The sequence below is a fragment of the Homo sapiens genome, chromosome 2 (genome assembly GCF_000001405.40).
Source record: "Homo sapiens chromosome 2, GRCh38.p14 Primary Assembly".
NCBI classification, from domain to species: Eukaryota; Metazoa; Chordata; class Mammalia; order Primates; family Hominidae; genus Homo; species Homo sapiens.
In genome coordinates this window covers 75,397,948-75,425,699 of record NC_000002.12, presented here as the reverse complement: position 1 = coordinate 75,425,699, position 27,752 = coordinate 75,397,948, and the positions used below count along the sequence as shown (strand labels likewise).

The window sequence follows — 27,752 nt, the reverse complement described above, 5'->3', positions numbered from 1 at the left end:
TACTCGCAAACCAATCAGCACACACTCCCCATTCTGAGCCCATAAATGCCTCGGACCCAGACACACTGAGAGAGAAACCACCCAATTTTGGGTGAGGGACCACCCTCATGTTCACCCTCTGCTGGGAGCTGTTTCATTGCTCAATAAAATTCTTCTCCACCCTCCTCACTCTTCAATTGCCAGTGTGACCTCATTCTTCTTGGATGCAGGACAAGAATTTGGGACCCAGTGAATGTGGGTACACAGAAGGCTGTAACAACTGTAGCCCTCTGCCCTCACCAGTGGAGGGCAACCTCCTCACATGACAGGAAGCAGTGGTGGGGCTGAGCCAACCCTGGAGCCATGAGCCGGAGCAGGGTAAGGGGCTGACAGAACTGTTAACATGCCATTGTTCATCGTGCTGCAGATGATGTGACTGAAAGAGTTAATTATCATGCTGTAGCACCCCCTCTGGGGCTTCAGGGTCGAGGGCACCCCTGCCTGGATGCCACTGTGTTCCCCTTCTCTGGACACTGGAGTCCACTATGGGAGTGGCTTGTGACGTGCCTGGTCCAGCCACAAGTACCACACAGAGCCCATTTCTGTGCCAGCACTGGGAGAGGCCAGCTAGACCCTGCACTCTCTTGCTCACACACCCCCTCTCACCAGGGGCTGAGTGTGCAGTTGCAGCAACAGGAGAATCTGCACCAGAGTGCAGGTTGGACTCTGCCAAGCAGGCTGAGTGGATGGTGCATCTCCTGCAGTGATCTGGTGCCTGAGTAAATCCCAGACAGGGGCGTTGCCAGCTGGAGGTCTCCACCTGAGAAAGTGACTAAGAAAAATCCTACATCAACAGTAGTTTGTGTTTTAACTAAACTTCCAGGAGGTTCTGATACATGGTCAAATTTGAGAAACATTTTACTGGAAATGCATCCTTTTCATCCAAAAACATCCATCACCTCCAAAAGTTTCTTTCTTCCAGCCCTCTTTATTTATTATTGTGCTAAGAACATGTAATATAAAATTTACCATTTTAGCAAAATTTTGCAACACAGTATTGTATACAAAATTGCGCAAAATTATTTATTATCTTTTGTGATAAGAACACAACATAAAATTTACTTTCTTAGCAAACATATGCAATACAGTATTGTTAATCGTAGACATTATGCTTTTTCAAGTAGATGTCTAGGACTTATTCACCTTATACGAGGGATACCTTGTACCCTTGGACTAATACCTCCTAATTTTCCCCTCCCCACAGCCCCTGGGGACCACCATTCTACTCTCTGCTTCTATGAGTTTGACCATTTTAGGTTCATTATATAAGTGATATCATGTAGTATTTTTTCTTCTGTGTCTGGCTAATTTCACTTAGCCTAATGTCCTCCAGGTTCATCTGTGCTGTCATAAATAACATGATTTCCTTCTTTTTTAAGGCCGAATTATATTCCACTTTCTCAGTCTGTTTGAACTGTTATAATAAAATACTCTGTGGCTTATAAACAATGGGAATTTATTTCATTCAGTTCTGGAGTCAGGAAAGTCCAAGGTCAAGGTGCCAGAAAATCTGATGCCTGGTAAGTGTCATCTTTTCACTGTAACCTCAGCAGCAGAAGGGCAATGAATTTCTCTGGGATCTCTTTTATAGGGGCACTAATCCTGCTTATGAGGAGTCTGCCCTCATGATCTGATGACCTCCCAAAGTTGCCACCTTCTAATACCATCTCCTTGGGGGTTAGGATTTCAACATATGAATTTTGGGGCACACAAACGTTCAGACCATAGCTCCATAGGGTATATATATTTATACACCACATTTTCTTTATCCATTCATCTGTTGATGGACATTTAGACTGCTTCCATATCTTGGCTATTGTGAATAATGTGGGAATAAACATGGGAATGCAGATATCTTTTTAAAATCCTGACTTCATTTCCTTTGGATGTATACCCAGAAGTGAGATTGCAGGATTATATGGTGGTTCTATTTTTAATATTTTGAGAAACCTCCATAGTGTTTTCTTTAGTGACTACAACAATTTCCATTTCCACCAACAGTGTCCAAAGATTCCCTTTCCTCCACATCCTCACCAACACTTGTTATCTTTTTTTGGTGTATATATATATATGTGTGTGTGTGTGTGTGTGTGTGTGTGTGTGTGTGTGTGTGTATAAAATAGCCATTCTAACAGGTGTAAGGTGACATCTCATTGTGGAAAAATCATATTCAAATAGATGTTAAATAGACATTCATATGCAATTTACCCTTGAACCCATCCATATACAATTTACCCAATTTACATGTTTGAACTGTGCAAGTCCACTTATACCTAGATTTTCTTCCACCCCTGCTACCCTTGAGCAAGACCAACACCTCTTCTTTCTCCTCCTCAGCCTACTCAATGTAAAGATGATGAGAATGAAGATCTTTATGATGATCCATTTCCCCCTAATGAACAGTAAATATATGTTCTCTTCCTTAAGATTTTCTTAATAACATTTTATTTTCTCTAGCTTACTTTATTGCGATAATACAATATATAGTACATATAACAGACAAAATATGTGCTAATTGACTATGTTATTCATAAGGCTTACAGTCAACAGTAGGCTATCAGTAGTTAAGTTTTAGGGGAGTCAAAAGTTATGTGTGAATTTGAGACTGCATGTGGGGACAGCATTGCTAACCCCAGCATTGTTCAAGAGGCAGCTGTAATTTAATATTAGTTCTGGACAGAATTTTTTTAGAAATAGGAAGATAATTTTGTTTAACATGAGAAACATGCACACACTATCATAAAATCCTAGGGGATTCCCATTAAAGAGAAGTAGAGAAGAAGTATGACCACTGTGACAACTATGGTTTAACACTGTTCTGAAAGTTTTAGAAAAAAACAAGCCATGGAAATGAATTAGGTTGGTAATTATTGGAAATGACATAACAAAGTTATGATTTCCTTGTGTTCTTTGCCTAGAAAACCAAAGGAAATAAACTAATAAAAATTTACTAAGATGATGAGTTAAAAATGGCATATACAACATTAAAGATTTTGTATATATTCAACAATGCAGAACATATAATTGTAAAAAGAGCCCACTGACAAAAACAATTGGAATATGCAGGATTAAACTTAATTTGAAATATTCAGAACCAACTGAAATAAAGCTCCAAAAGTAACAAAAATACACAATTTAATAAAAATAGATACCATGCTTCTGGATACAGAATTCTCAATATCATAAAAGTTGTCTACAAATAAATGTATACATTTCGTAGAATTAGTAATGGGAAGGTGTACAATATTGAGATGCTAAAGTTCATGTGGACAAATAGGCAATAATAGTTTATAAATTTTTTCAAACAAAACTGGAACAGGGATCTATAATACTAGATATTAATGCATGTACATTTTCAGTAATTAAGAGTGGAGGCTTTGACTTGCAATTCTGATGGGGTAGCTTGCTATAGACCAATGCTCCTGCCAAGAAAACAAGAAAAGCCAGATAAAACACAAAAACCATCTGTTTGAAGGCATTGGTGAGCTGCCAAGCAAAGAGAAGATAATGGAGTGACATCTTTGAGTGCTGAAAGAAAATAACTAGAATCCTACAGTGTTAAGCAAATAACAGTGTGGAGCAGAAGAACTGAATAAAGCGGATAATGTCCATACAGAGACCCTTTCCTCCTTGCAAGCTTCTCTCACTATCCCAAAGGCCTTTGGATCAAACTTTTATTTAGGACTCATCCTTAGGGTGGAGTAAAAGGGAGATGGACAGGAGAAGGATTTAGTGTTGCTTCTGTGCCTTACCCCTTGGAAACCAAAATCCCCTTCCCCTGCTCCCAGTTTTTGTTCTTTCTCTTTTTAACCCCAATTGGGATACAGGGAAAACTACAGTCCCCAGGGTTGTGGCCATGCCCTATGCAGAAACATTTCTGGAGAATCAGGTCAATTCTGCTGGCTTGTAGAGCTGCTTCCTTAATTCTTGCCTGTTTTTGCACGTCCCCCTGGGATAACATGGGGACTTCAGTAGCTCAGTCTTTGGAATCACCTGCTAAGTATTTTTAAATGGATTAGAGGGTGTGACTTATCTTTACTCAACTTCTGACATAGGAATTCAACTCAGTATTCCACTTTCCATCTTAAATGGGGTTCAGTGACTCTGATTAGCCAAGGCAACAGATTATACAGTATGCATCAGAAGATGCTATCACCCTAATTATACAGTGCCAAGCATATGTAATGCCTCACAGGGCTGCTTCTTTCACAAATGGTCTCTCCATCTCTTCCCAGGCACCTTTCTCACTCCTAACTAAAGATGAATCAAGAGCAAGTTTCTCTCTCCTCTCTTCACTCCACCTGCATGGGAGCCTACTTCTTCTGGACAGTCAGAAGTTTTTTTATTATACGTTTTTTCCCAAAGAGATTCACTTGTCTTGCTATTTCAAAGCTCTCTCTTAATTACTTTCTTTTTAATAAAACTATATTTAAAGAAGATATTTTTGGCTTGAAACAACAATGCCTCTTTAAGCTGCTTAGACATATGCATTTACTCTTTGAATCAACAATCTCAATTCTAAGAATCTATCCCAAATAGACACTTGGCAAAAGCATAAAAACATGCATGCACATGGCTATTCTTTAAAGCATTTTTTTAGATAGGAAAAGGCTGGAAATGACACAAATGTCTATCAATGGGTGATTGCTTGACAGTTGAGAAGGAATTTGTAGGGAAATTGCTACAAAGAAATTAGAAGAGATAAAGAGCAAATGAGTTGGTGGGGAAACCCAGAGATAACAACATCAGGCAGCCCTTCCATCTCTAGGGCCAGAAGGACAAAAGGAAAAGCTGGTATTAGCAGCTAGGGCTTTCCAGTGAGACTGGAACCTCATAGGAGATGTGGCCAGAGACACGGCCCAAAGCAGAGGAGAATAGAAACCTGCTTCTTTCCTCTGTGCCTCTGTCTCCTACACTGTCTAACTCTACCTACCAAGGAAGGCTGGTTTGCAGAGGTCAGATCAAGAAAAGCTGGGGAAGGCAGAGGATACAAATGAGACATCAGATTCAGTTTCTACTAACTGCTTTTTTTCCCCTCCGTTGAATATGAGTCCTATTTCTTTGTATATCTCATAACGTTGTTTATTGAAAATTAGAACCGGGCGCCGTGGCTCATGCCCGTAATCCCAGTACTTTGGGAGGCTGAAGCTGGTGGATCACCTGAGGTCGGGAGTTCAAGACCAGCCTGACCAACATGGAGGAACCCTGTCTCTACTAAAAATACAAAATTAGCCAGGTGTGGTGGCACATGCCTGTAATCCCAGCTACTCAGGAGGCTGAGGCAGGAGAATCTCATTCCAGCCTGGGCAACAAGAGCAAAACTCTGTCTCAAAAAAAAAAAAAAAAGAAAAGAAAAGAAAAAGAAAAAGCAAGGAAGAAAGAAAATTTAGACATTTTGATAATACAGCAACTCTGGGTCATGGTTTTCTTTTCTGATATTTGTTTTTGTTGTTTTATTTGTTGAGTAGCTTTCCTGGGCCAAACCTGTGAAACTGGTCTTCCCAATGGCTGCTTATGTCTCTGTTCCTTTTTGTTTTTTTTTAAGTTATTGTTGTTTTTATGTTGGACTTATGAGGGATCATTCTTCTTTCTGTGTAGCCTGGTGGTCGGCCAATGATTGGGCAGACACTATACTCAAAACACTTGAGCCAATAAGGTTTCTGTTCTCTGTTGATGGATTTCTATGTAGGAAGAGTACAAACTTCAAGCTGTTTTCAATTTTCCTCCAGATTTTTCTTCCCACCAGGCTCTTCTGCACATTTTCTCTGTGTGTGCAACCTCGGTGTTGGCCAGTAGTATGTAGAGGGGCTTAGGCCATCTTGGTCTCTGTCGTGGATATGTGTAGCCTTAGCTGATATTATGCTTGTCCCAACAAAAACCTCAGATTAGAAAAATCATTGGTCAATTCCACTGACCCTCTGCCAAGACTGTCACTTTTACTGACATTGCTGCATGGGCATGGCCCACCTCTCCAGATCAAGTGTGCCCAGCATGACCATGGTAGCAAAACTACTAGTTGTCACAGCCTGTTCCACTCTCACAAAACATCCATGTCAACCAGGCTGGCAGGAGCTTTGGAGTTGTCCCAGTAAAAAATGTCCTAAGCTCCTACTAATCTTCACAGTTCCACAGGTTTTCAAGCATAAATGCTTCTCCAATTGGCTATGCCTTTGGCAGATTCCAAGAGCATAGACATAGTTGTTTTTGTCATTTTTGTTTAGCTTCTCACTTGCTTTTGGGGAGAGGATTTGCTAACCTTCTTACTAAGCCATACCCTGAAGTTCTACTTCATTCATCTAATAAGTATCTATTTCATACTTTCTTGTAAAAGGTATTTTTCTGGGCATTGAGATTCCTTAATAAATAATACAGACCTAGTTCCTGTTCTTATGGAGCTTATGTTTTTACAAGGGAGATGACAAGTGACCATATAATCATTATTTAATTACAAATATAGTGAGTGCTACAATGGAAAAGCACTTAGACTTCTGTTTTTGTTTCATGTCTTATTGAATCAGCCATAACTTCTAGAAAATCATTACCATAACTTTGTAATAGCAATGATGTGTGTAATTTTCATGTTTCTGATTTTGATAAACATGCTTCTAATGTGTAACCACTAAGATTAATGATTTTAGAGATCATGTTGAAGAATTACATATTTATTCCTCATTTTCTAGTATGTTTTCCCCTCAAAAAATGTATGTTGAGATCCTTTTGTGATTCGTAAACATGATGATTAGGTTTTTATGCTTAGGTGTGAGATGTGCCTCCCTCACATCTTATTACGACATCTGTACATTACCCATCTCATGTGAGAAAAATAAAGAAGAAAAAAATTTATGTTGAAAGTTATCAGATGCTTTTTCAGCATCTTTTGAGATTTTTATATAAATTTTCATATTAGGCCCATTTGTATCACATTTTATGTATTGAGATATTCTAATAGCAAAGTGCTTTGCAGGACTCGAGTGAAATAAACTAGATGGAGATGGTGATCATTTAAATTTACCTGAATTTCATTGGCTTGTACTTTGTTTAGTATTTTATTGAAAGTGAGCTGGCACCACTATTTTGGTCCTATTATTTTTCAGTTTTTAATCATTTTTAATATTTTTCTGTGACCTGCAATTGTTCCTGTAAATGTGTGACAATTTAAACAAAAAGAAGGGAAAGAAATTTGGTAATTTATAATATTATATTAGTTATAGGACAGGAATACTACCCAGGCCCCAGACTCATAAAACCAAAATGTTTTACTAATGTATCTTGAAGGACTTTTTAAAAGATTATCTGGTTTATAATCTGAAGTTCTCTAGCCTTAAAAAAAATATAAACCTATGTCATAACAAGTTAATCTGACTGGCTTTTATTTAGTACTTTGAATTTAGTTCTAAATCATAATAATGACAGCTCCTCAAGTTGAGAAAGATGGAGAAGTCCCACTAGGCAGAGAACTGTGACTCCCATGGCACCAGTAAGTATATGTTTATTATAGTACTTGTCTCATTGAATTAAAATTATTTACTTACAGGTAGATAATCCCCACTAGCCAGTAGCATCTTAGAGTGATGACTTAATCAGTTATCTGTCCCTACGTCCTGGTGCAGCTCCCAGCACATGCAGTTACTTCAAATCTTTATCGTAGGAAGGAATGTATGGGGCCGTAGAGGGCACCCCAAAATCTAAATGCCAATTCTTACTCTTCCAATGTCCCAATAAAATACCTAAAGAAGAGATATTATACGGGCATAGAAATGATTTAAAGATTAGGTTGAAGGAGGAAAACATGCAAACGTCAGGGACTTTCACTGATGGATGGACAGTCGTTACAATGTACACAGTGCTTCTGCAATGATATCTTACCAAGAAGAAAGGCAGCCTGTTTTCCTAGAGATGCCATCGGATTCACAGAGACCTATACAAAATGTGTTTTCTTGAGGGTCCACATCTAGCTACACGAGCTCAGGAAAGTCACATAATTTTTCTGGATCTCTGTCTTTCCAGCTGTAACATACAGGGGTGATAAGCCTGTTTGAGAGTCTCTTCTGTACCTCGTATCTTTTGATTTCAAGATGAATGAAAAACAAGCACTGGTTTTCTGAAAGATTTATTATAAAATATAAACTCAAATTCTACCTTTTTATAACAATAAAAGTGAGTTGGAGATTGCCAATCCGCTGACCATCCCCATAAGCAGAAATTTCTTCTAAAGGAAACAGAAACACAATACAGTCCCAAAATATCAAGACTTTATATCTGTCTGAAGGAGAAATGATTATTTGCTCTTGGTAATATGGGACAGTTATTCTAGCCAAATAAGTTAAATATGTTTGTCTTCCCAATATTTGAGACCTGGAGCTTGCTTTCTTATTTCTGCTCTGAGAGTGTTTGATTTGGTTAATGTTTAGCAGAAGGAAAAAGAAGAGAGAGTGTGTGTGCATGTTTGAAAATTGCAGTCACTTTTCTTCTACAGCCAGAGGCTATGATGTCAGGAAGTAAATGATAGAAGATGTCAGCTCTCCTATCTATAACCTCAGCTTTGCAGTTTCTCTGGGGGCCTCATGCACTCTTACAGCTTCTTAAACAGGAAGTAGACCTGGCAAAAAATTTAAGTGCGTTTTACACTTGATATACCACAGACTCGGCCAGAACAGTTCTAAACAGAAGACTTCACAGAAATCCTGACACTTTGTTTTTTGCCAAAGAACAGTGTCTTTTTCAGAAATGCTGATTTTGGGATCATGGACATTCTCCTTAATTTCTCCTTAGCAAGTCTGTTGGAAGGAGGAAATTGGTGCCTTTGAGCAGATTATCCCCCCCACACAACAGCGCTTGATAAGGGACGGTAAGAAGCACAGGTGAGTGCTGTTAGAAGGTGGGGGTGGGAAAGAGGAGGAAGGCACAGGAGGAGTCAATAAGAGGTTAAATAGAAAGACCAGAGCAACCCGAGAGAGCCTGAGAGCACTGGGTGATGAGAAGACCTGCAGGAAGGGAATGGTGAGTTAAGAATGTTATAATGAAAACTTTTGTCTACTCCATATCTTTGTCTACTATAGACAGCTGGGCTTTTGTACAAACTGTGTTCTCATGAGAATCCAGAGCTGACTGCTCTGAGCATTTCATGGTACATACTGTGGGATTTTGACTAATGCTGGCAAAGATCTTTAATTTCTTCCAAGGATTGGAGTATACAGGAATTTGGTTTTTATTACATAGATCAATCATTAGAAACAGCTTAGATGATATTATTCATGCAGTTAACCTGAAACGAGTATGATAATAGTTGCAGGAAACAACCATTACCCTCATAAACTTGGAGATTAAATTAAATCATTTTTGTTAAACTCATTTATTGAAAAATATTATCGATTCTCTCAGTAATAATGTGATTCTGTGAATTGAATTTTATGTTATTTAGGAACTTCAGAGTAAAATTATTCCAAGGCTTGTTTCTCTTGGATGAAGGGCTGTAAAATCTCATTATGGATGTAGAATATTATAATTGCATAAATTACTCAGGGTTTATGATGTGAAGTTTTGAAGAAAAGCAAATAGTTTGTTTTGTTTTTTTTGTTTTTTTTTTTTGTTTGTTTGTTTTTGCTTTTAAAAATTCTGGGAGTATGTGGCTCCCTGAAGAGATGTTTCTTTTCAACCTCAAATCAACTTTATTTCTTGGCTCTTTCATGCACTTTCCTTCCTGTGCTACAAGTTATTTCCAAGGGAGATTGTGTCGTGTGTTTTTAGATTCTGCCAAGAGAAAGTACTCCATTGCTCATAGTTGCATTTATATCATCTGGTTATTGTCTATGATAGAACATAGCTAAGGAAAGAGGTCAATACTGACTTCTTCTTAATACTGTATCCATAAATGTTGACTGTGTAGTTGAATTGGCCTTATAAACAGGTAAGTTAAGCAACTAAATTTGCAGTGAAAATTTCTACACCTGTTCACTAATTTCTGAAATTCTTAAGTGGGTAATGTCTCTCATAAGTGTAAATTGTTTTAGTCTAAGTCGCCTCAATATGTCAAATCTAACACAACAACTTGCATACAGATAGTTTATTCTGGAAAACGATCACAAAGAATGAAAGTAACGAATAGGGAAGAGAGGAAAAATAATCCAAGGGTGTGTTATTGAAAGTTTTTACTGCTGTAGGCAGCTGAAACTCAATCCACGTGGGAACATCTGAGGAGCCAATGATAATTCACCTGAGAGTTATTCACTCAAGGGCTTCAAGGGGAGAATAGTTATCAAGCAAATTCTGTTCCCCATTGGTGAATGCTTCATGGGATATTAACTCCATCTTACTTCCAGGTTTGCCTGGAGACCAGAATAGCTGAACAAGTTTCGGCAGGTATTAGGGAGGCAGTGGTGGAGAAGTGCTAAGAGGCAGAAATCAAGAGATTTATGGTGGAGCTGAACAGAGGTGCTGTCAGGCTACATTCTCAGGCATTGGTAGCCATACCAAGGGCTAGAGTGAAAAAGGAGCCTAGAGAATATGAGACAGAGCCCAAGATGTCCAGAGATAAAGCTTAAAAGATAAACATTTATATTCTTAGTATAAGAAGGTCTCATTAGAGCATATCTGTGGAAGGTCAGTGATACAGAAGACGGTGAGTAACTGAGGGAGGCAAGTGCTAAGCCACGGCACATAAGGAAGACCATACTGGGGATAGGTAGAGGGCTTCAAATGACCAGCTTGGCCTACTTTGGATTTTCAACTAAGGCTAAGACTGCCTGAAATTCATTGAAAAGTCTGCAGAATTATAGTGAATTCAGGGTCATCTAGTTTACTTCCCATCTGTAGCTTAGACCCTCTGTCAGCAGGCATTGACCTTTGCGTAAAGTTCTCTCATGTCAAAGCACTCACGGTCTTCTGAGTTAATAGCTTGAGACATTCCTAACTACTAGATGTTGTGGCAAAAACTTATCTTTCTGAGATTCCTGCTTATGAGTTTTGGATCTTTGGGGCCATGCACAACTATTAAGATCTGAAGAGTTATCATGGCTTCCTGAATCTTTAATCATTAGGCTAAACATCTCAAATTTCTATAGGCACTTATTCCTCAGTTAATAGTATTTATAGGTCTTGCTCCTCCGAAATCTTCTCTATTGAGGTGCCCCAAATAAAGTGCTAGACAATGCATTGTAAACTGACGAAGACTGGAGGGGTATCATTTCCTCCCTAAGGCTAGGTGACACAGTTCTAGTAATATAGGTTGAAACTGACAGAACTTTCTTGGAAGCTGCTACGCACTGCTATGTGTAACTGAGTTCACTGCTGACCAAAGCCCCTGACTCTTTTTCATATGAGCTACAGCTAAACCATATTTTAATCTACCTTTGTACTTTTATTAGTTGGTTTGATTTTTTGGAGGGGTGGGGCAAGGGAAGAATCTTACATAAATCTTTATTGAAATTAATCTTGTTAGATCAGTCGATTATTTTGACCTGATAAGGCCTTTCCTAGCCATAATTTGACATTCAACATGTTTGTTATTGTTTTTAGCTTCTTATCACTGGCAAAGAAAAGGAAAAAAAGATTTATTAAGACAGGACTTGCTTTACTGCAAGTAGAAATGTCTGTCTGGTAATGGCCATTCAGCCAGTTATTAAACCTGTCAAATGTACTAGCATATAAGCCAAGGAGAACTGGAAAAGTTGTAGGTCTTTATCTTTGAACAGGAGAAGCCAATTGATATGGTTAGGCTTTGTGTCCACACCCAAATCTCATCTTGAATTATAATCCTCATAACCCCCACAATCCCCATGTGTCAAGGAAGAGACCAGGTGGAGTTAATTGGATCATGGGGATGGTTTCTCCCATGCTGTTCTTGTGATAGTGAGTGAGTTCTCTCGAGGTCTGATGGTTTTATAAGCATTGACTAGTTCCTCCTGCATTCATTCTCCTTCCTGCTACCTTGTGAAGAAGGTGCCTTGCTTCCCCTTCGCCTTCTGCCATGATTGTAAGCTTCCTGCGGCCTTCCTAGCCATGCTGAACTGTGAGTCAATTAAATCTTTTTCCTTCATAAATTACCCAGTCTCATGCAGTTCTTTAAAGCAGTGGGAAAACAGACTAACACACCAGTAATCCTCAGAAAATGCATCCCAGCAAGTAAGATAAGACTCTAGCCCAATTTGAGCATTCATCAGTGTCTACTGGTGGTGGCAAAGTGAAGACAGCACTTTTGTATTTCTGAGAAGAAGCATTGTATAGTGGCATGTATAGTTGAGGTCATTAACTAGAAGTTATTTTGGTGGGAATCACAGGAAAATCTAATAGAGCTCACTGCTTGGAGAAATGGCTGTTAGGAATAAAGCAAGAAAAACGCCCTCCTTTTCCTTCCCCCACCCCGTACAGGATGGGATGGAAAGTACAGTTTTCAAATTGTCACAGGTTTCTAAGGAATATTTTTGTATGACCCGTGAGTTTTGCCTTTAAGAGTGGACAACAACAACAAAATGTTTCCAAATTCCATTTGCCTTTTAGCATCCTTCTGCCAGGCTACTTCACTTTGCCTACTTTGGGGCAGGGCCAATGGAGTCAGGACTGAGCAGGAATTAGCACCTAAGTGCATACAAAATATGTCAATATGGGCATGAATTTTTGTCATTATCCTCACCCAACAAAAACAGCTCCCCAACTCCCTCTGTGAGTTCCCAAAACACATAATAAGTATCACTTTTAGTTCTGAATCTACATTCTATTTCCTCACTAGAACCAGAGCTCTGCCATGCACCCCAGTTCATTTTCCTGGGGCCATGATACCTTGCCTGTCTCTTTTTCAATAATCTACCCTTGGGACACAATATAGACAGAATAATGGCCTCCCAATGATGTTCACATCCTAAGCTCTAGAATCTATTACATTATACAGCAAAGGGGAATTAATTAACATTGCAAATGGAATTAAGGTTGGTATTCAGCTGCCTTCAAGATAGAGAGATTATCCTGGATTATCAAGAGAAGCCTTGTGTAATTATAAGCGTCCTTGAAAGTGGAGGAGATAGGCAGAAGAAATCACAGAAGGAGACGTGATGATGAGAGGAAAGTCAGAGTAAGGTGTTATGAGAAGGTCTCAATAGACCATTGCTGGCTTTGAAGATGAAGGAAGGGGCTATGGGCTGAGCATTTCAGGTAGCCTCTAGACACAGGAAAAAAACAAGGAAACAGATTCTTCCGTAGAGATTACAGAAGGGAATGCATTTTTGCCTGATACCTTGATTCTAACCCAGTGAAACCAATGTTAGAGATCTAACCTTCAGATAATAAAAGAATAAATTTGTGTGGTGTAAGCAGGTAAATTTCTGGTAATTTGATTCAGCAACAATAAGGAACTAATACAAAACTATATAATGTTTCTTTCCCTTTCAAATAATTATTGGGATTCAACCTGAAACCACGGCTCTTCAAATCATGACCAATCTTTGTTAAAATAAAAAAAATTAAATTAACAAAATTATATATATTTATCTTAGACAGCATGATGTTTTAAAATATATACGTTTGTAGAATAGCTAAGTCATCCTAATTAATATATGCATTACATTGCATAACTTTTTTGTGGTGAGAACACAAAATGTATTCTTAGCAATTTTCAAGAATAAAATACATTGTCATTAACTATAGTCACCATGTTGTACAATAGATCCTTTGAGCTTATTTCTATCTAACTGAAATTTTTGATCCTTTCACCAACATCTCCCTAAATTGCTTCCCACCCACCTCTTAGTAATCACCATTCTACTCTCTGTTTCTGTGAGTTTAACTTTTTTAGATTCTACATATAAGTGAGATCATACAGTATTTATCTTTCTGTGCCTGGCTTATTTCACTTAGCATAAGAACCTCTGAGTTCATCTGTGTTGTTGCAAATGACAGAATTTCCTTCTTGTTTAAGGCTGAAGAGCATTCCATTATGTACATATACAACGTTTTCTTTATCCATTCATCAGTTGATGGACACTTAAGTTGATTGCATATCTTGGACACTGTGAATCGTGCTGCAGTGAACATGAGAGTGCAAATATCTCTTCAACATACTGATTTCATGTACTTTGGATATATGCTCAGTAGTAGGATTAAAAGTAATTATTTATAGGTAAGGATTTACTACTGTCATTTTGCTGCTTTCTGATTGTTTTATAGATCCTTCTTCCTTTCTTCCTTTCTTGCTGTTTTTCTTTTTATTAGATGATTTTCTCTAGTTCTATGCTTTGATTCCATACTTTTTATCTGTTGTGAATCTACTATAGATTTTTGCTTTGTGGTTACCTTGAGGCTTGTAGTTATAACAGGCTATTTTTAACTGAAACAACTTAATTTTGATTGTACTTAAAAAACTCAACCTTTTTATTTCACCTCCCCCCATCTTATGTTTTCAAAGTTATAATTTATACTTTTTTATATTGTGCATCCCTTAACAAATTATTGTGGTTGTTATTAATAGTTTTGTTTTTAAGCTTTCTACTAAAGAAATAAGTGACTTACACACCATAATTTCAGTATTAGAGTTTTCTAAATTTGATTATGTACTTACTTTTGACAGTGAGTTTTATACTTTCATATGTTTTCATGTTATTAATTGGTGCCTCTTTCTTTCAGCTTAGAGGAGTCCCTTTAAGATTTCTTATAAGACTTCTGGTGATGATGAACTCTTTCAGCTCTTCTTAGTCATTTCTCCTTCATTCCTGAAGGACAGATTTGTTGGGTACAATATTCTCAGTCTGCAATATTTTTCCTTTAGCACTTTGACTGTGTGAAGCTACTTTTTCCTTGCCTGTCAAATTTCTGCTGAAGTCTGCTATCAGCCTTATTAAAGCTCTGCTTACATGTGATTTGCTTATATTCTCTTGTTGCTTTCAGGAGCCTATCTTTGTCTTTGAATTTTCAGTTTGGTTATATGTCTTAGGATAGTCCTGTTTGGATTGGATTTCATTTGAGGCTTTTGACTTTCCTCTTCTTGGATATTTACATTTGCCCCAATTTGGAAAGTTTTCTGCTATTATTTCTTTAAGTAAACTTTCTATCTCTTTGTCCCTTTCTTCTCCTTCTTAAACTCCTATATCTCAAACATTTGCCGTTTTGATGCTATCCCACAAATCCCGTAAGATTTCTTCATTCCCTTTCATTCTTTTTTATTTTTTTCTCGGATTGTATATTTTCAAATAACCTGTCTTTAACTTCACAGATTTTTTTCTTCTGCTTTATCAATTCTGTTGTTAATGCTCTCTGTTACATTTAAAAAATTTTTATTTATTGTGTTTTTCAGCTCCATAATTTGTTTGTTGTTTTTTAAAAATAATTTCAATCTCTCTGTTACATTTATAATTTTGGTCATTTATTGTTTTCCTGACTTAATTAAATTGTTTCTCTCTTATTTTAAATTCCTTATCAGGCACTTTTTGTATCTCCATTTTCTTGGGGTCAGCTATTGGAAATTATAGTGTTCTTTTGGTGATGTTATATCTCATTGATTTTTCATGTTTCTTATTGCCTTACACTGATATCTGCACATTTGAAAAAGTAGAGACTTATTCTAATATTTGCAGATTGGTTTTGTCTGGGAAAGCTTTCCTCAGTCAGCCCATGTAGAGATTTTGGGCAGGGGCAGGCTATCTGGTGTGGTCTGTGGGGAGGCTTGCTGCTGGAGTCTTTGGGGAGGTTTGGTCAGCAGGTGGATGCCTGGCACCTAAGTTCACAGGGGCTTACCAGGTGCTGGGGTGGGCCTTGAGTCTAAGTCTGCAGTGGCCAGCCTGGTACTAGGATGGGCCTGATAGCTGTGTTCACTGGGACAGGCCTGGAGCCTGAGTCCACTGGGATGGGCCTAGAGCCTGAGTCCATAGGCGCTAGCTTGGGACTGGGGAAGATCTGGAGCCTGAGCAAATGAAGATAGGTCTGTGTTCTGGGTCTTCAGGTATGGATCTGGACCCTGGGTCTGCTGGAACATGAGGCAATAAGGGCCAATATGGAGGATGCAGCTGCAGGGACCAGCCTGGAATCAGGCTGGAGTCAGCCAGGCCTGGAGTCTGTGTCTGTATGTGGCAGCCTGGTGCCTGAGACCAGAGATGTGCCTCTGGTGCTAGAAAAATAAATAAAAAGAAATTTGCAACTGAACATAGTGGAGTTAAAGAAAACCTAAAGGTAAAGCGAACACCTCAAAAGTAGTCAGAGAAAAAAGGACAGAGTTTCCCAAAAGAGCAAGGTTTAGACTAACAATTGACTTTTCAACAACAGCAACGAGGACATAAAACAGTTATGTGATATTTTCAACTTGCCGGAAGAAAAGAACTGCCAATCCAGGCAGTAAAAATATTCTTATAATATTCTTATTCTCAAAAAATTCTTAAAAAATCAAGACAATTTGGAACATTTCCAGGCAAATAAAAATAGATTTCACTATTAGCAGACCCATGCTAAAGAAAATTCTAAAACATATTCTTAAGACAAGAGGAAAATGATCAGATAGAAAGATTCAGGAGAAAAATAAAAAGTCATAACATTGACTGTATGTTCCATAATGGCAGGGCTGGGCTCCATCCTGTCCACTGCTGACCTTAGCCATTTAAAGGATGAATGAGATAATAAAATAAGCTTGACATAAAGATGAGATTTCCAGTCATCAGAGCTGCTTACAGATGGAATAAACTGTCCCAAAAAAATGTGATATAGAAGCAGAAACAAGCTAACTGATGTATTCCAGGTCTTGACTTTAATCCAGGAACTTCTGGATATTTAACTTTATCATTGACTGAGCTCCAGTGAGCTAAATATTTTTGCATGCATTATCTCACTAAATCCTTATATCTACACCATGAAGTAGGTAAAATTATCTTTATTTTACAAATAATGAACTAAAGCTCAAAGAGGCCACAATCAGGGGAAAGAGGTGTACAGTTGGGGAAAGAGGTGCAATTAGGGTTCTATAAAGCTCAAACTAAAGCTCAAAGAGGGAATAGTTGGGGAAAGAGGTGAAATTAGAGTTCCATAAAGTTTGTATACAAGGAGCGTCAAGCCTATGGCAAGGTCCATACCTGTCATGCCCCTCGTATGTCTCAGCATCAAGTGACAACCCCACAAACTTACGCATACTGTAGGTTGTTATGGAGTTTCATCTGTGAGTTCTTATGAATTACCATAGCTTTGTTGAACCATCCTATGAATAAAATTCACTGTTACTGTTGTGAGTGAGACCTGTCACCTACTTCCTAAGATGTGAACCTCATTTATCATGAGAACCCCCTTTGCAAATGTCTTCATAAAACATACATCTGTGTCTTATTAAACTGTTAGGAACTTCTTGTTAAATATGTTTACTTCTACTCCCTTCCCAACTCCTATAAAACTGACAACAAAGGAATGAAAAAGTACAACTCAATGTTTTTAAAAAAGAAGAAACGAAGTCAGTCACAGTAGATTGTAAAGGTCTATAATATTTAGAAGATGAATTGAGAATAGATGAGTCTTAAATTACTGAAGAGATTAAAGAAAACCGAAACTCAAATACCTGGTATTGGTGGTAGTGCGAGGGGAAGAAGTATTGGTTTTTAGGGATGACACAGGGAAGCAAAAAAAAAAAAAAAAATCAAGGGGAGTTTATTGAAGAAGACTAAAGTTATGGGTACAAGTCAGCACTGGAAATAGAAGAATTTGCCAAAAGTCAGTAAAACAAACAGCCACCCCCATCCTCACAGTACACTCACAAGACCATTCCTCCCACACTGGGATAAAAAAACTAGAGAAGTTATAACTCTTTGCAGAAATCGAAGTCTCAGGTTTAGCTAAGAGTTGGAGTGCCATGCCAAAAACACAAGAGCTAAACGAAGTCAGAATACTAAGTGATGAGGCCCCTTTTGGCTCCCAGAAATCTGAAATCCAAGCTTCTACCTCTGCTGCCATAGCCTCTCTCCATGACAGGCAAGATATTGGAAGGTTCCTCTCTATGAAACTGACTAGTGTAATAAGACTTAAGCATATTAATATTTAGGGTGTCTTCCAAAGAAACAGCCCAATCCCCACCCCTCTTTTCTGAAACTCACACATCAACAAGCCTCTCTCATGCACAGAAAACACCCAATCAGCTTTGTAATACTTTACTCTCAAAATTGAATGGAGAGCCAATGATTGCCAAACTATTGAGAAAATCCTTAATTTATTTTTTCTTTTTCTCTCTTTTTATTAAAAAATGCCATCATGAAAGCAACATTTTTGCTATGAGTCATACCTTACCTTGTAAAAACCCATTTATGCCATTGGAGTAAATTTATTGTTGCTCTGGTGTAAGGTTTTAGTCCTTAGTTCTTTAAAAAGTGTTTCTATTTCTTTCTATGAGACCAATCTACCTCTTCCTGCTCTCGTCTAATCTCCTCAATGACAGATTTTTCACTTTGACATTTATTGAGCCTTGGAACTACTTTATGGGATATGACAGCCCCAATTCCCATTGTGCGTTGTTTGTTTTTAGTATAGTTATTTTGCTGAGTGTTTTACTGGGTTGATATTTTTTCTCATTTTATCCTATTTTGTCTCTTTGCTATGCTATAGATGTATATATTGAGAATAACAAATATTTTAAAACTTAAAAAATTAAACCTCTCACGTGTTTTTATAGTTAGCTGTATTTTGTTGAACTTATTTTATTGGTGCTATAGTCATCACAATATGTCTTGTCAACTGGCACCTTCCATTAGGGTCGGGAAGACTTAACAATTTCATGTCATTAGTTTATTTTGGGATGCAATTCAGTAGCTGAGATAGTGTGCTTTGATAAATAAGAAGTTTAGGTAATTTTAGAAAGTTCAGTAAGACATAAATTTTTTACCTAGTCTATGCTTCATGGGAAAATAAACTTCAGAAACATTCTCATTTACTTTCTATTTCTTTTTTGTTACACATATGTAGAATGTTCATCTACAGAGAGCTCTCTCTTATGTGCATTTAAATGTGGTTATAAATTTTTGTTTATTAATTTAATAAAAGAAAGAAAAATAGACAACGATGTGCAGAAGGAGACGGAGCATGGCACAGAGCCCTACAAATAGGCAAGATTTTTCTGCGCCCAGAGATAAGGAGCAAAGAGCCATCATACACTGAAAGCATGTTTCCCTGAGAATAATGAGCCATATAACTACTCTCATGTGATTTTCAAAACATAAATCTTCAGGATGCAAGGGCAGGTGGTGATGAATTACTGGAACAGAAAATAGTTGAAGGGAAAGGGCAGCAACATCAGTGTTATGCACATTTATGCAAATTCAACTTCTAAAATATGAAAGGGTTTTCTCTGTACTATGAAAGTGACTGAAATTAATGGGTGAGAAGCAGGGAGATTTTGTATGTCTGCTTAACTCTGCCTATAGAGTCCTTTTGAATGGATGCATACAACACAAAAGGCTGAGCCATCTTTCACAGGCTCCACACTATTGTGGGTTTCGGCTGACAGCCCAGATAGCAAGAGTCAAAAGGCAGATGTGTTTTGTGAAGACTTGAGTGGAATAAAAGAAAATAATGCCAGGCTCAGAAGAGAAACTTCGCATGGATGGAAATGGGTAAAAAATACTCAGAAAATAGAATTCTAGTGAGCGGTGGGAAACTTTAGTAACCTTGAAAACACTCAGAACTCTCCTGTAGTATGTAGAATGCCTTTAGAATCCTAGAGAAGTCAGAAAAGACCCCAAAAAGCTAGATTATATTAATATAGAAAATGTATTATGATAAAGATAAGAGCCTCCACATAAAGGTCAATGAAAGATTTTAAGTTCATCTCAAAGTATTTCATTTTGGCCTGGATTTACATTGACATAAAATCTCAGAGACTCATTCCAGCTTTTCTGGGGCCAAGATGATTATCTCCTCCTGCAGATCCCCCAATATAGTTAACTTTTCCGTGAGGTGAAGTGTGATATAAGCCTTCATAAGAGCCAGAAGCACACAGTAAGAGATACGGCAACTGACAGGGATATTCTGGAACACTTACTTAAAAAGTTTGAAAATACAAAAGGGAAATCTACATGCAGATAAGCATTCTAGTTTTTATTCTGCCTTCAGATGATGCCAAAATCCTTGGCAATACGTGGAAATGGGTGAGTGAAATTCTAATATTTTTCTGCTTGTTTATAGTTTATTACTTCTCATTTTAGTATTAATCACCTATAATTACACCATATGTTAACAATAACATGTGGAAAACTAAGGAAAGGGCAGATAGCCAAAGAAAAGCTATTTGAACCCAGAGGGAGATTTTCAGGAAAGAAAAGATAGTTCGGCAGTTAGAGCTTATAAGATATGTGTGCTCAAGAGAAAGAGCCATGACCCAGATAAGAAAAATAAAGAGTATGCCTTAGACTGGGGGAAAAAAAGAGAAAGAGCTTACATCTCAAATGAGAGAGAGAAAAAAAAGAGACAGAGAGAAGGAGATTTATGATGGATGGATGCTCTTTAGCTGTCTAGTACAGTAAAATTTTGCCATCAAATGTGACAACAGGAAGCTTCTAACAAATTGATATGTGATGCCTTAATGATATTTCTACCCAACCTGAATGGGTCACATAGCCTCTCTCTGGCTCGAAATTCTTTAATCTATCCTGGAGTATTTTGCAATTTCTTCTGCCTCCAGTTGTACTGCTTAGTCAGTGATAGGCAATCGTTTTGCATAGATCTTAACAATAGAACATCATAATAGAAAGTCACCTACTCATGCATACCATTCTTTCTTAGGTCCTATAAAGCATTTGGTTGTTGCTTTGTAAGAAAATATGGAAATGCAGTTGTCCTTAAAACAATGAGTATGTGCATTACTGATATAAAATTTATGCCCTGAGACACTATTTTCATACCTTTCTGTGTACTTAATAACATTTTGTTTCAGTGATTAATCAGTGTATTCAATTTGGGTACATTGCACATGTCAATTAAATTTAATGCATAGAGCATCAACAATGAGCATAATTCTTTTGAAGTGGTAACAATATGAACAGCTATGAGGAAGCTCCTGCATGCACAGGAGCTTTGGTTATTCGAGATCTTTGGTGGTTTCACACAAATTTTAGAATTGTTCTTTCTATTTTGTGAAGAATGTCACTAGTATTTTGATAGAGATTTTATTGAATCTGTAGTTAACTTTGAGCACTATGGTAATTTTCACGATATTAATTCTTTCAATCCATAAACGTGAATGTTGTTCCACTTTTTTGTGTCCACTTTAATTTTGTATTAGATTTATAATAACAACTATATCACAATACTGATAACAATTGTATGATTCCATTGATTAGAAGATGTAGTCTTATTTTAGAGATGTTAGTACGTGAATAAAAGTTTCAGAACCATTGCAGTATGGTAATGTGATGTATAAGATAGAGTGACGAACCCCATTTTATTATATCTTCATGTGTTCACACAGTCATGAGGAATTTGGGAAATTTACTCCACCGGGTTAAAAGAATTTTTGCCTGGGACCCTGATAGGCGTGATATACAGAGAAATTGTTGCAATTCTCAGGATAAACCAGTAGAGGGAGGAATTCTCCACAGTCAGGAGCACACTCAGCAAGCAAGAAGCAACATAACCTAATTTAGACCAACGAGTAGATGTTGTAGGGTCTATCTGTGGGAGTGTAAAGTATGACTACGGAGGCGGAGGTCGCAGTGAGCCGAGATCATGCCACTGCACTCCAGCCTGGGCAACAACAGGAAAGTCTGTCTCAAAAAATAAAAATTTTTTTTAAAAAGATGGGGTGACACTTGAGTACAGTGGTTCGCTAACTCAATATAACTAGTATCCTTAAAACGAGAACGCCATATGAAGAGAATAGACATGCATACAAAGAGAATACCATGCAAACATGAAGGCAGAGGTTGGGATGACGCATCTACAACCAAGGTACGCCAAAGAGCATCAGCAAATCACCAAAAGCTAGAAGAGAGGCACAGAACACATTCTCCCTCACACAGTTCAGAATGAACCAAACTTACTTACATGTTAAAATTATACTTCTAGCCTCCAGAACGGTAAGACAATAAATTTCTGTTGTTTTAAGCCACCCAGTTTGTGGTAGTTTGTTGTGGCAGCCCTAGGAAACTAATACACTCAGTAAGAGACAAAAAAGCAGGATCAGAAACAAAAAAAGCAAAATGAAATATAAATGAACAAAGTTTAAAAGATTACAGAAGAAATTTTCCTTTCTCCAATGTCAGAAATCAGTTAGGTCTAAGTGTGTGGAATTATTTCTGGGTTCTCTATTCTGTCTCATTGGCCTATGTGTCTATCTTTGTGCCAGTACAATGCTGCTTTGGTTACTATAGGTTTGTAGATATTTTGAGGTCAGGTAGTGTAATTTCTCCGGGTTTGTTCTTTCCCCACCCCCTCCCCCCGCTCAGGATTGCTTTGGTTATTCGAGATCTTTGGTGGTTTCATACAAATTTTAGAATTTTTCTTTCTATTTTGTGAAGAATGTCACTAGTATTTTGATGGAGATTTTATTGAATCTGTAGTTAACTTTGAGCACTATGGTAATTTTCACGATATTAATTCAATCCATAAACATGAATGTTGTTCCACTTTTTTGTGTCCATTTTAATTTTTTATTATATTTATAATTTTCATTGTACAGATCTTTGACATCCATGTTTATATTTATTCCTAAGTTTATATTTTTTGTGTGACTATTGTAAATGAGATGGGTTTCTTGATTTTTTCTTATTTTTTTGCTTTTATGATTTTTTAAATTGACACAGTACATTTACATATTTATGTGATATAGTGTGATATTTTGATACATGTATACAATGTGTAATGATTGAATCAGGGTAATTAGCATACCTATCACCTCAACCATTTATGGATGAGAACATTCAAAATCTGCTGGAGAGGATGTGGAGAGGATATGCTGGAAGAAAGGGAACCTGTGTGCTGTTTGTGGGAATGAAATTAGTATAGCCATTATGGAAAGCAGTATGGAGGTACCTCAAAGATCTAAAAATCTAAAAATGGTACTACTATAGGATCCAGCAATCCCACGACTGGGTGTATGTTCAAAGGGAAGGAAATCAGTATGTCAAGGGGATATCTGCACCCCCACGTTTATTTCAACACTTTTCAAAATGGCCAAGGTATGAAATAAACCAAAGTGTTTATCAACAGATTAACGAATAAAGAAAATGTGGCATATATACGCAATGTATTACTATTCAGCCTCGAAAAAGAATGAAATCCTGTGGCAATATGGGTGAGTCTGGAGGACATTATATTAAATAAAATAAGTCTGGCAAAGAAAGATAAATACCACATGTTCCCACTCATATGTGGAAGTGAAATAAGTTGATCTCATGGAAGTAGAGAATATAATAGTGTTAACTAGAAACTGAGAAGGGTAGTGGGGAGGAAGAGATAGCCAAAGGCTGGTTAACAGATGTAAAATTACAGCTAGGTAGGAGGAATTCTTTCTAGTGTCCTTTAGCACTGCAGGGCGGCTATGGTTAATAATAACTTATTCTATATTTTCAAATAGCTAGAAGAGCAGATTTTGAATGTTCCCAATACAAAGAAATGATAAATTTTAAGGTGATTTATATACTAATTACCCTGATTTGGTCATTATACATTGTATGTATGTATCAAAATATCACACTGTACCCCCATAAGCATGTAAAACTATTACATGCTAATTTTAAAAAGATTACAGAAAGAAGGAGAGGAATTAGGAAAAAATAATAGCAATAGATTGGAAATAAGAATGGAGGTCTTATGAGATTAAACCTATGCATAGTTAATGTTCTTCAAAAGAGAACAAAACAAATGTAACAAAAAAGAATTTGAAAGGTATCATTCAAGAAAATTTCCCAAAGATGTAAAAGGACCTGACAGGGTAAGTCTTAGATTGAGTAGACAAAACAGTGTATACAGAGATTTTCAGAACAATTAATATTAAGACATGTCCTACAAAATTTTGGGATCTCATAGATAATGAAAAGAAAAAGCTATTGTGCATCCATTCAAACCTATCAACTTAAATGAGAAAAAAGAATCAGTGTGGTTTCAGGTTTCTCTAAGAACCATTCAATGTTAAAAGACACCAGTGTCTATGAAATCTTCAGGTTTAGCTGAAAAAAAAGTATTGCCCAAGAATTTTATATCCAATTAAACTGTAGTTCTAATATAAAGGAAAATACAGTTCCCATAAAAGCTTCTTGAAGAAATGACCAAATGAATTTTAGCCAACAGATAGATGAATGAGGAAACCAGCAAACAGATTGACAGTGAGCATAAAGTCGATTTAATTGTAAGGCTGAGATTAAAACAACTCTACAAGTTATGGTTGTAACTGTAAATATTATGAAATACAATAATTTAGAAATTATAAAACGAACTTGGAAGGTTGTATTAGTCCATTTTCACGCTGTTGATAAACACATACCTGAGACTGGGTAATTTATTTTAAAAAAGAGGTTTAGTGGACTTACAATTCCACATGGCTGGGGAAGCCTCACAATCATAGTGGAAGGTCTTACATGACTACAGACAAGAGAGAATGAGAGAGCCAAGCAAAAGGGGAAACCTCTTGTTTTAAAAAACCATCTGCTCTCTTGAGGCTTATTCACTACCATGAGAACAGTATGGGGGAAACTGCCCCCATTATTCAATATCTCCCACCGGGTCCCTCCCACAACACATGGGAATTATGGGAGCTATAATTCAAGATGAGATATGGGGGGGGACACAGCCAGACCATATCAAAGGTTAAGAAGGAAATAATTTACAAGGTAATGTAAGCATAGACATTAAATTAGCTTTTAAAAACAGATATTTATAAACCAATTAGTGCATTAAATACAGTTAGAATTAAAAATAAACACTGGATAAGCTAAGAATAATAATATGATATAATCAGCAAAGACCAAGCAACAGAGGAAAGGAAAGGGTAGTAAGGGAGTGAAATATGATAATTTTATCAATACAATGGATCTATTTTTTTAATGAAAGAGTTAAAATATATGAAGATATATTTAAAATAATCTCTGAAATATCAAGAACAGAATATACTAAAAATTTCCAGAAGGAATGCACATAGAAAACACAGGCCACAGAATGAAAGACATAAAATGAAAGATTAGGAGATCAACTTCCAGCATTATAGCGTAAGGAGCACAAGACAGGGTGGAAAAAAGCTGACATTCTGCTCCTTAGGATAACAGCCCTCCCACAGGGAGCTGAAGGAGTACTGTGTCCTTGGCTATACCAGTATGAAGTGGAGTTTCCAACTTGCTGATGGGAATTATATTGAATCTGTAGATCACTTTGGGTAGTATGGACATTTTAAGAATAGTAATTCTTCGACTCCATAAACATAGGACATCTTTCCATTTATTTGTGTCTTCTTCAATTTATTTCATCAATGCCTTACAGATTTCAGCATACAGATATTTCACCTCCTTGGTTAAATTTATTTCCAAGCATTTTACTTTTTTGATACTACTGTAAGTGTGATCATTTTCTTTATTTTTTTTCAGATAATTCACTTTTAGTGTATAGAAACACCACAAATTTCTACTTAATTTTTATTTCAGTAGTTTTGGGGATATAGGTGGTTTTTGGATACATAGATAAATTCTTTAGTGGTGCTTTCTGAGATTTTGGAGCACTCATCACCTGAGCAGGGTACACTGTACCCCATATGTAGTCTTTTATTCCTCACCTTCTCCAAACTTCCCTGCTGAGTCCCCGAAGTCCATTATATCAATCTTATAACTTTGCACCCCCATAGCTTAGCTACCACTTATAACTTACAAGTGAGAACACAGGATATTTGGTTTTCCATTCCTGAGTTACTTCACCTAGAATAATAGACTCCAGCTTCATCCAAGTTGCTATAAAAGACATTATTTTATTCTTTTTTATGGCTGAGTAGTATTCCATGGGGTATATATGCCACATTTTCTTCTTTCACTTGTTTGTTGATGGGCACTGAGGTTGGTTCCATATCTTCGCAATTGCAAATTGTGCTGCTATAAATATGCATGTGCATCTGTCTTTTTCATTTAATTACTTATTTTCCTTTGGTTAGACATCCAGCAGTAGGATTGCTGCATCCAATGGTAGTTCTACTTTTAGTTCTTTAAGGAATTTCCATACTGTTTTTCCACAGTGGTTGTACTAGTTTACATTCCCACCAGCAGGGTAGAAGCATTCCCTTTTCACCACATCCACACCAACATCTATTAATTTTTGACTTTTGAATTATGGCCATTCTTGCAGGAGTAAGGTGGTATCTCACTGTGATTTTAATTTGCGTTTCCCTGATAATTAATGATGTTGAGCATTTTTTCATATGTTCGTTGGCCGTTTGTATATCTTCTTTTGAGAATTGTCTATTTATATCCTTTGCCCACTTTTTGATGGGATTATTTGTTTTTTTTCTTGCTGATTTGTTTGAGTTCCTTGTAGATTCTGTATGTAAGTCTTTTGTTGGATGCACAGTTTGCAAATATTTTCTCCCACCCTGTGGGTGGTCTGTTTACTCTGCTGATTATTTCTTTTGCCATGCAGAAGCTTTTTGGTTTAATTAGGTCCCATTAATTTATTTTTGTTTTGTTGTATATTAGTCTGTTCTCACACTGCTAATAAAGACATATCTAAGACTGGGTAATTTATAAAGAAAAAAAGGTTTAATGGACTCACAGTTCCACATACCTGGTGAGGCCTCACAGTCATGGCAAAAGATGAAGAACAACAGGACTTCTTATATGGCAGCAGGTGAGAGAGAACTTGTGCAAAGGAGCTCCTCTTTATAAACCCATCAGATCTCATGAGACTTATTCACTATCATTAGAACAGCAGGGGAAAGACCCACCCCCATAATCCAATCACCTCCCATCAGGTTCCTCCCACCTAGGAATTGTGGGAGCTACAATTCAAGATGAAATTTGGGTGGGGACACAGCCAAACCGTATCAGTTGCATTTGCCTTTGCGTTCTAAGTCATGAATTCTTTACCTAAACCAATGTTTAGAAGAATTTTTCTGATGTTATCTTCTAGAATTTTTATGTTTTCAGGTCTTAGGTTTAAGTCTTTGATCCATCTTGAGTTTATTTTTGTATAAGGTGAGAAATGAGGATCCAGTTTCTCTTCTACATGTGGCTTGCCACTTTTCCCGGCACCATTTATTGAATAGTGTGTTCTTTCTCTAATTTATGTTTTTGTATGCTTTGTGAAAGATCAGTTGACTGCGAGTATTTGGCTTTATTTCTGGGTTCTCTATTCTGTTCCATTGGTCTATGTGCCTATTTGTATACCAGTACCACGCTTTTTTGGTAACTATTGCCTTGTAGTGTAATTTGAAGTGGGGTAATGTGATGCCTCCAAATGTGTTTTGTTGTTGTTTTGTTTTTTGCTTAATATTGCTGTGGCTATGTGGACTTTTTTTGTTCCATATGAATTTTAGGATTTTTTTTCATAATTCTGTGAAGAATGATGATGGTATTTTGAATTGCATGGAACCTGCAGATTCCTTTGGGCAGTATGCAGTTGTCGCAATATTGATTCTATCCATCCATGAACATGGCATGTGTTTCCATTTGTTTGTGTCATCTATGATTTCTTTCAGCAGTGTTTTGTAGTGTTCCTTGTATAGATCTTTCACCTCCTTGGTTAAGTAGACTTCTTCTAAGTATTTTATTTTTTTGCAGCTGTTGTAAAGGAATTGAGTTATAATT

The 27,752-nt window shown here is 37.1% G+C and overlaps 1 non-coding gene across 1 annotated transcript, besides 3 other annotated features; it reads left to right on the top strand.

Moving 5' to 3' along the window:
- Nucleotides 1–6,750: 6,750 nt before the first annotated feature.
- LOC124906160 (small nucleolar RNA U13) lies at nt 6,751–6,854 on the top strand. Its single transcript, XR_007088748.1, has one exon. It is a non-coding gene; the product is annotated as a small nucleolar RNA U13 (small nucleolar RNA).
- Nucleotides 8,552–8,631: an enhancer, noted in NCBI's record as "active region_16088". NCBI's record gives its function as "activates an Ori minimal core promoter by ATAC-STARR-seq in GM12878 lymphoblastoid cells {active_cell/tissue: GM12878}" and the evidence as "EXISTENCE:reporter gene assay evidence [ECO:0000049][PMID:35858748]".
- Nucleotides 9,152–9,201: an enhancer, noted in NCBI's record as "active region_16087". NCBI's record gives its function as "activates an Ori minimal core promoter by ATAC-STARR-seq in GM12878 lymphoblastoid cells {active_cell/tissue: GM12878}" and the evidence as "EXISTENCE:reporter gene assay evidence [ECO:0000049][PMID:35858748]".
- Nucleotides 21,645–21,704: an enhancer, noted in NCBI's record as "active region_16086". NCBI's record gives its function as "activates an Ori minimal core promoter by ATAC-STARR-seq in GM12878 lymphoblastoid cells {active_cell/tissue: GM12878}" and the evidence as "EXISTENCE:reporter gene assay evidence [ECO:0000049][PMID:35858748]".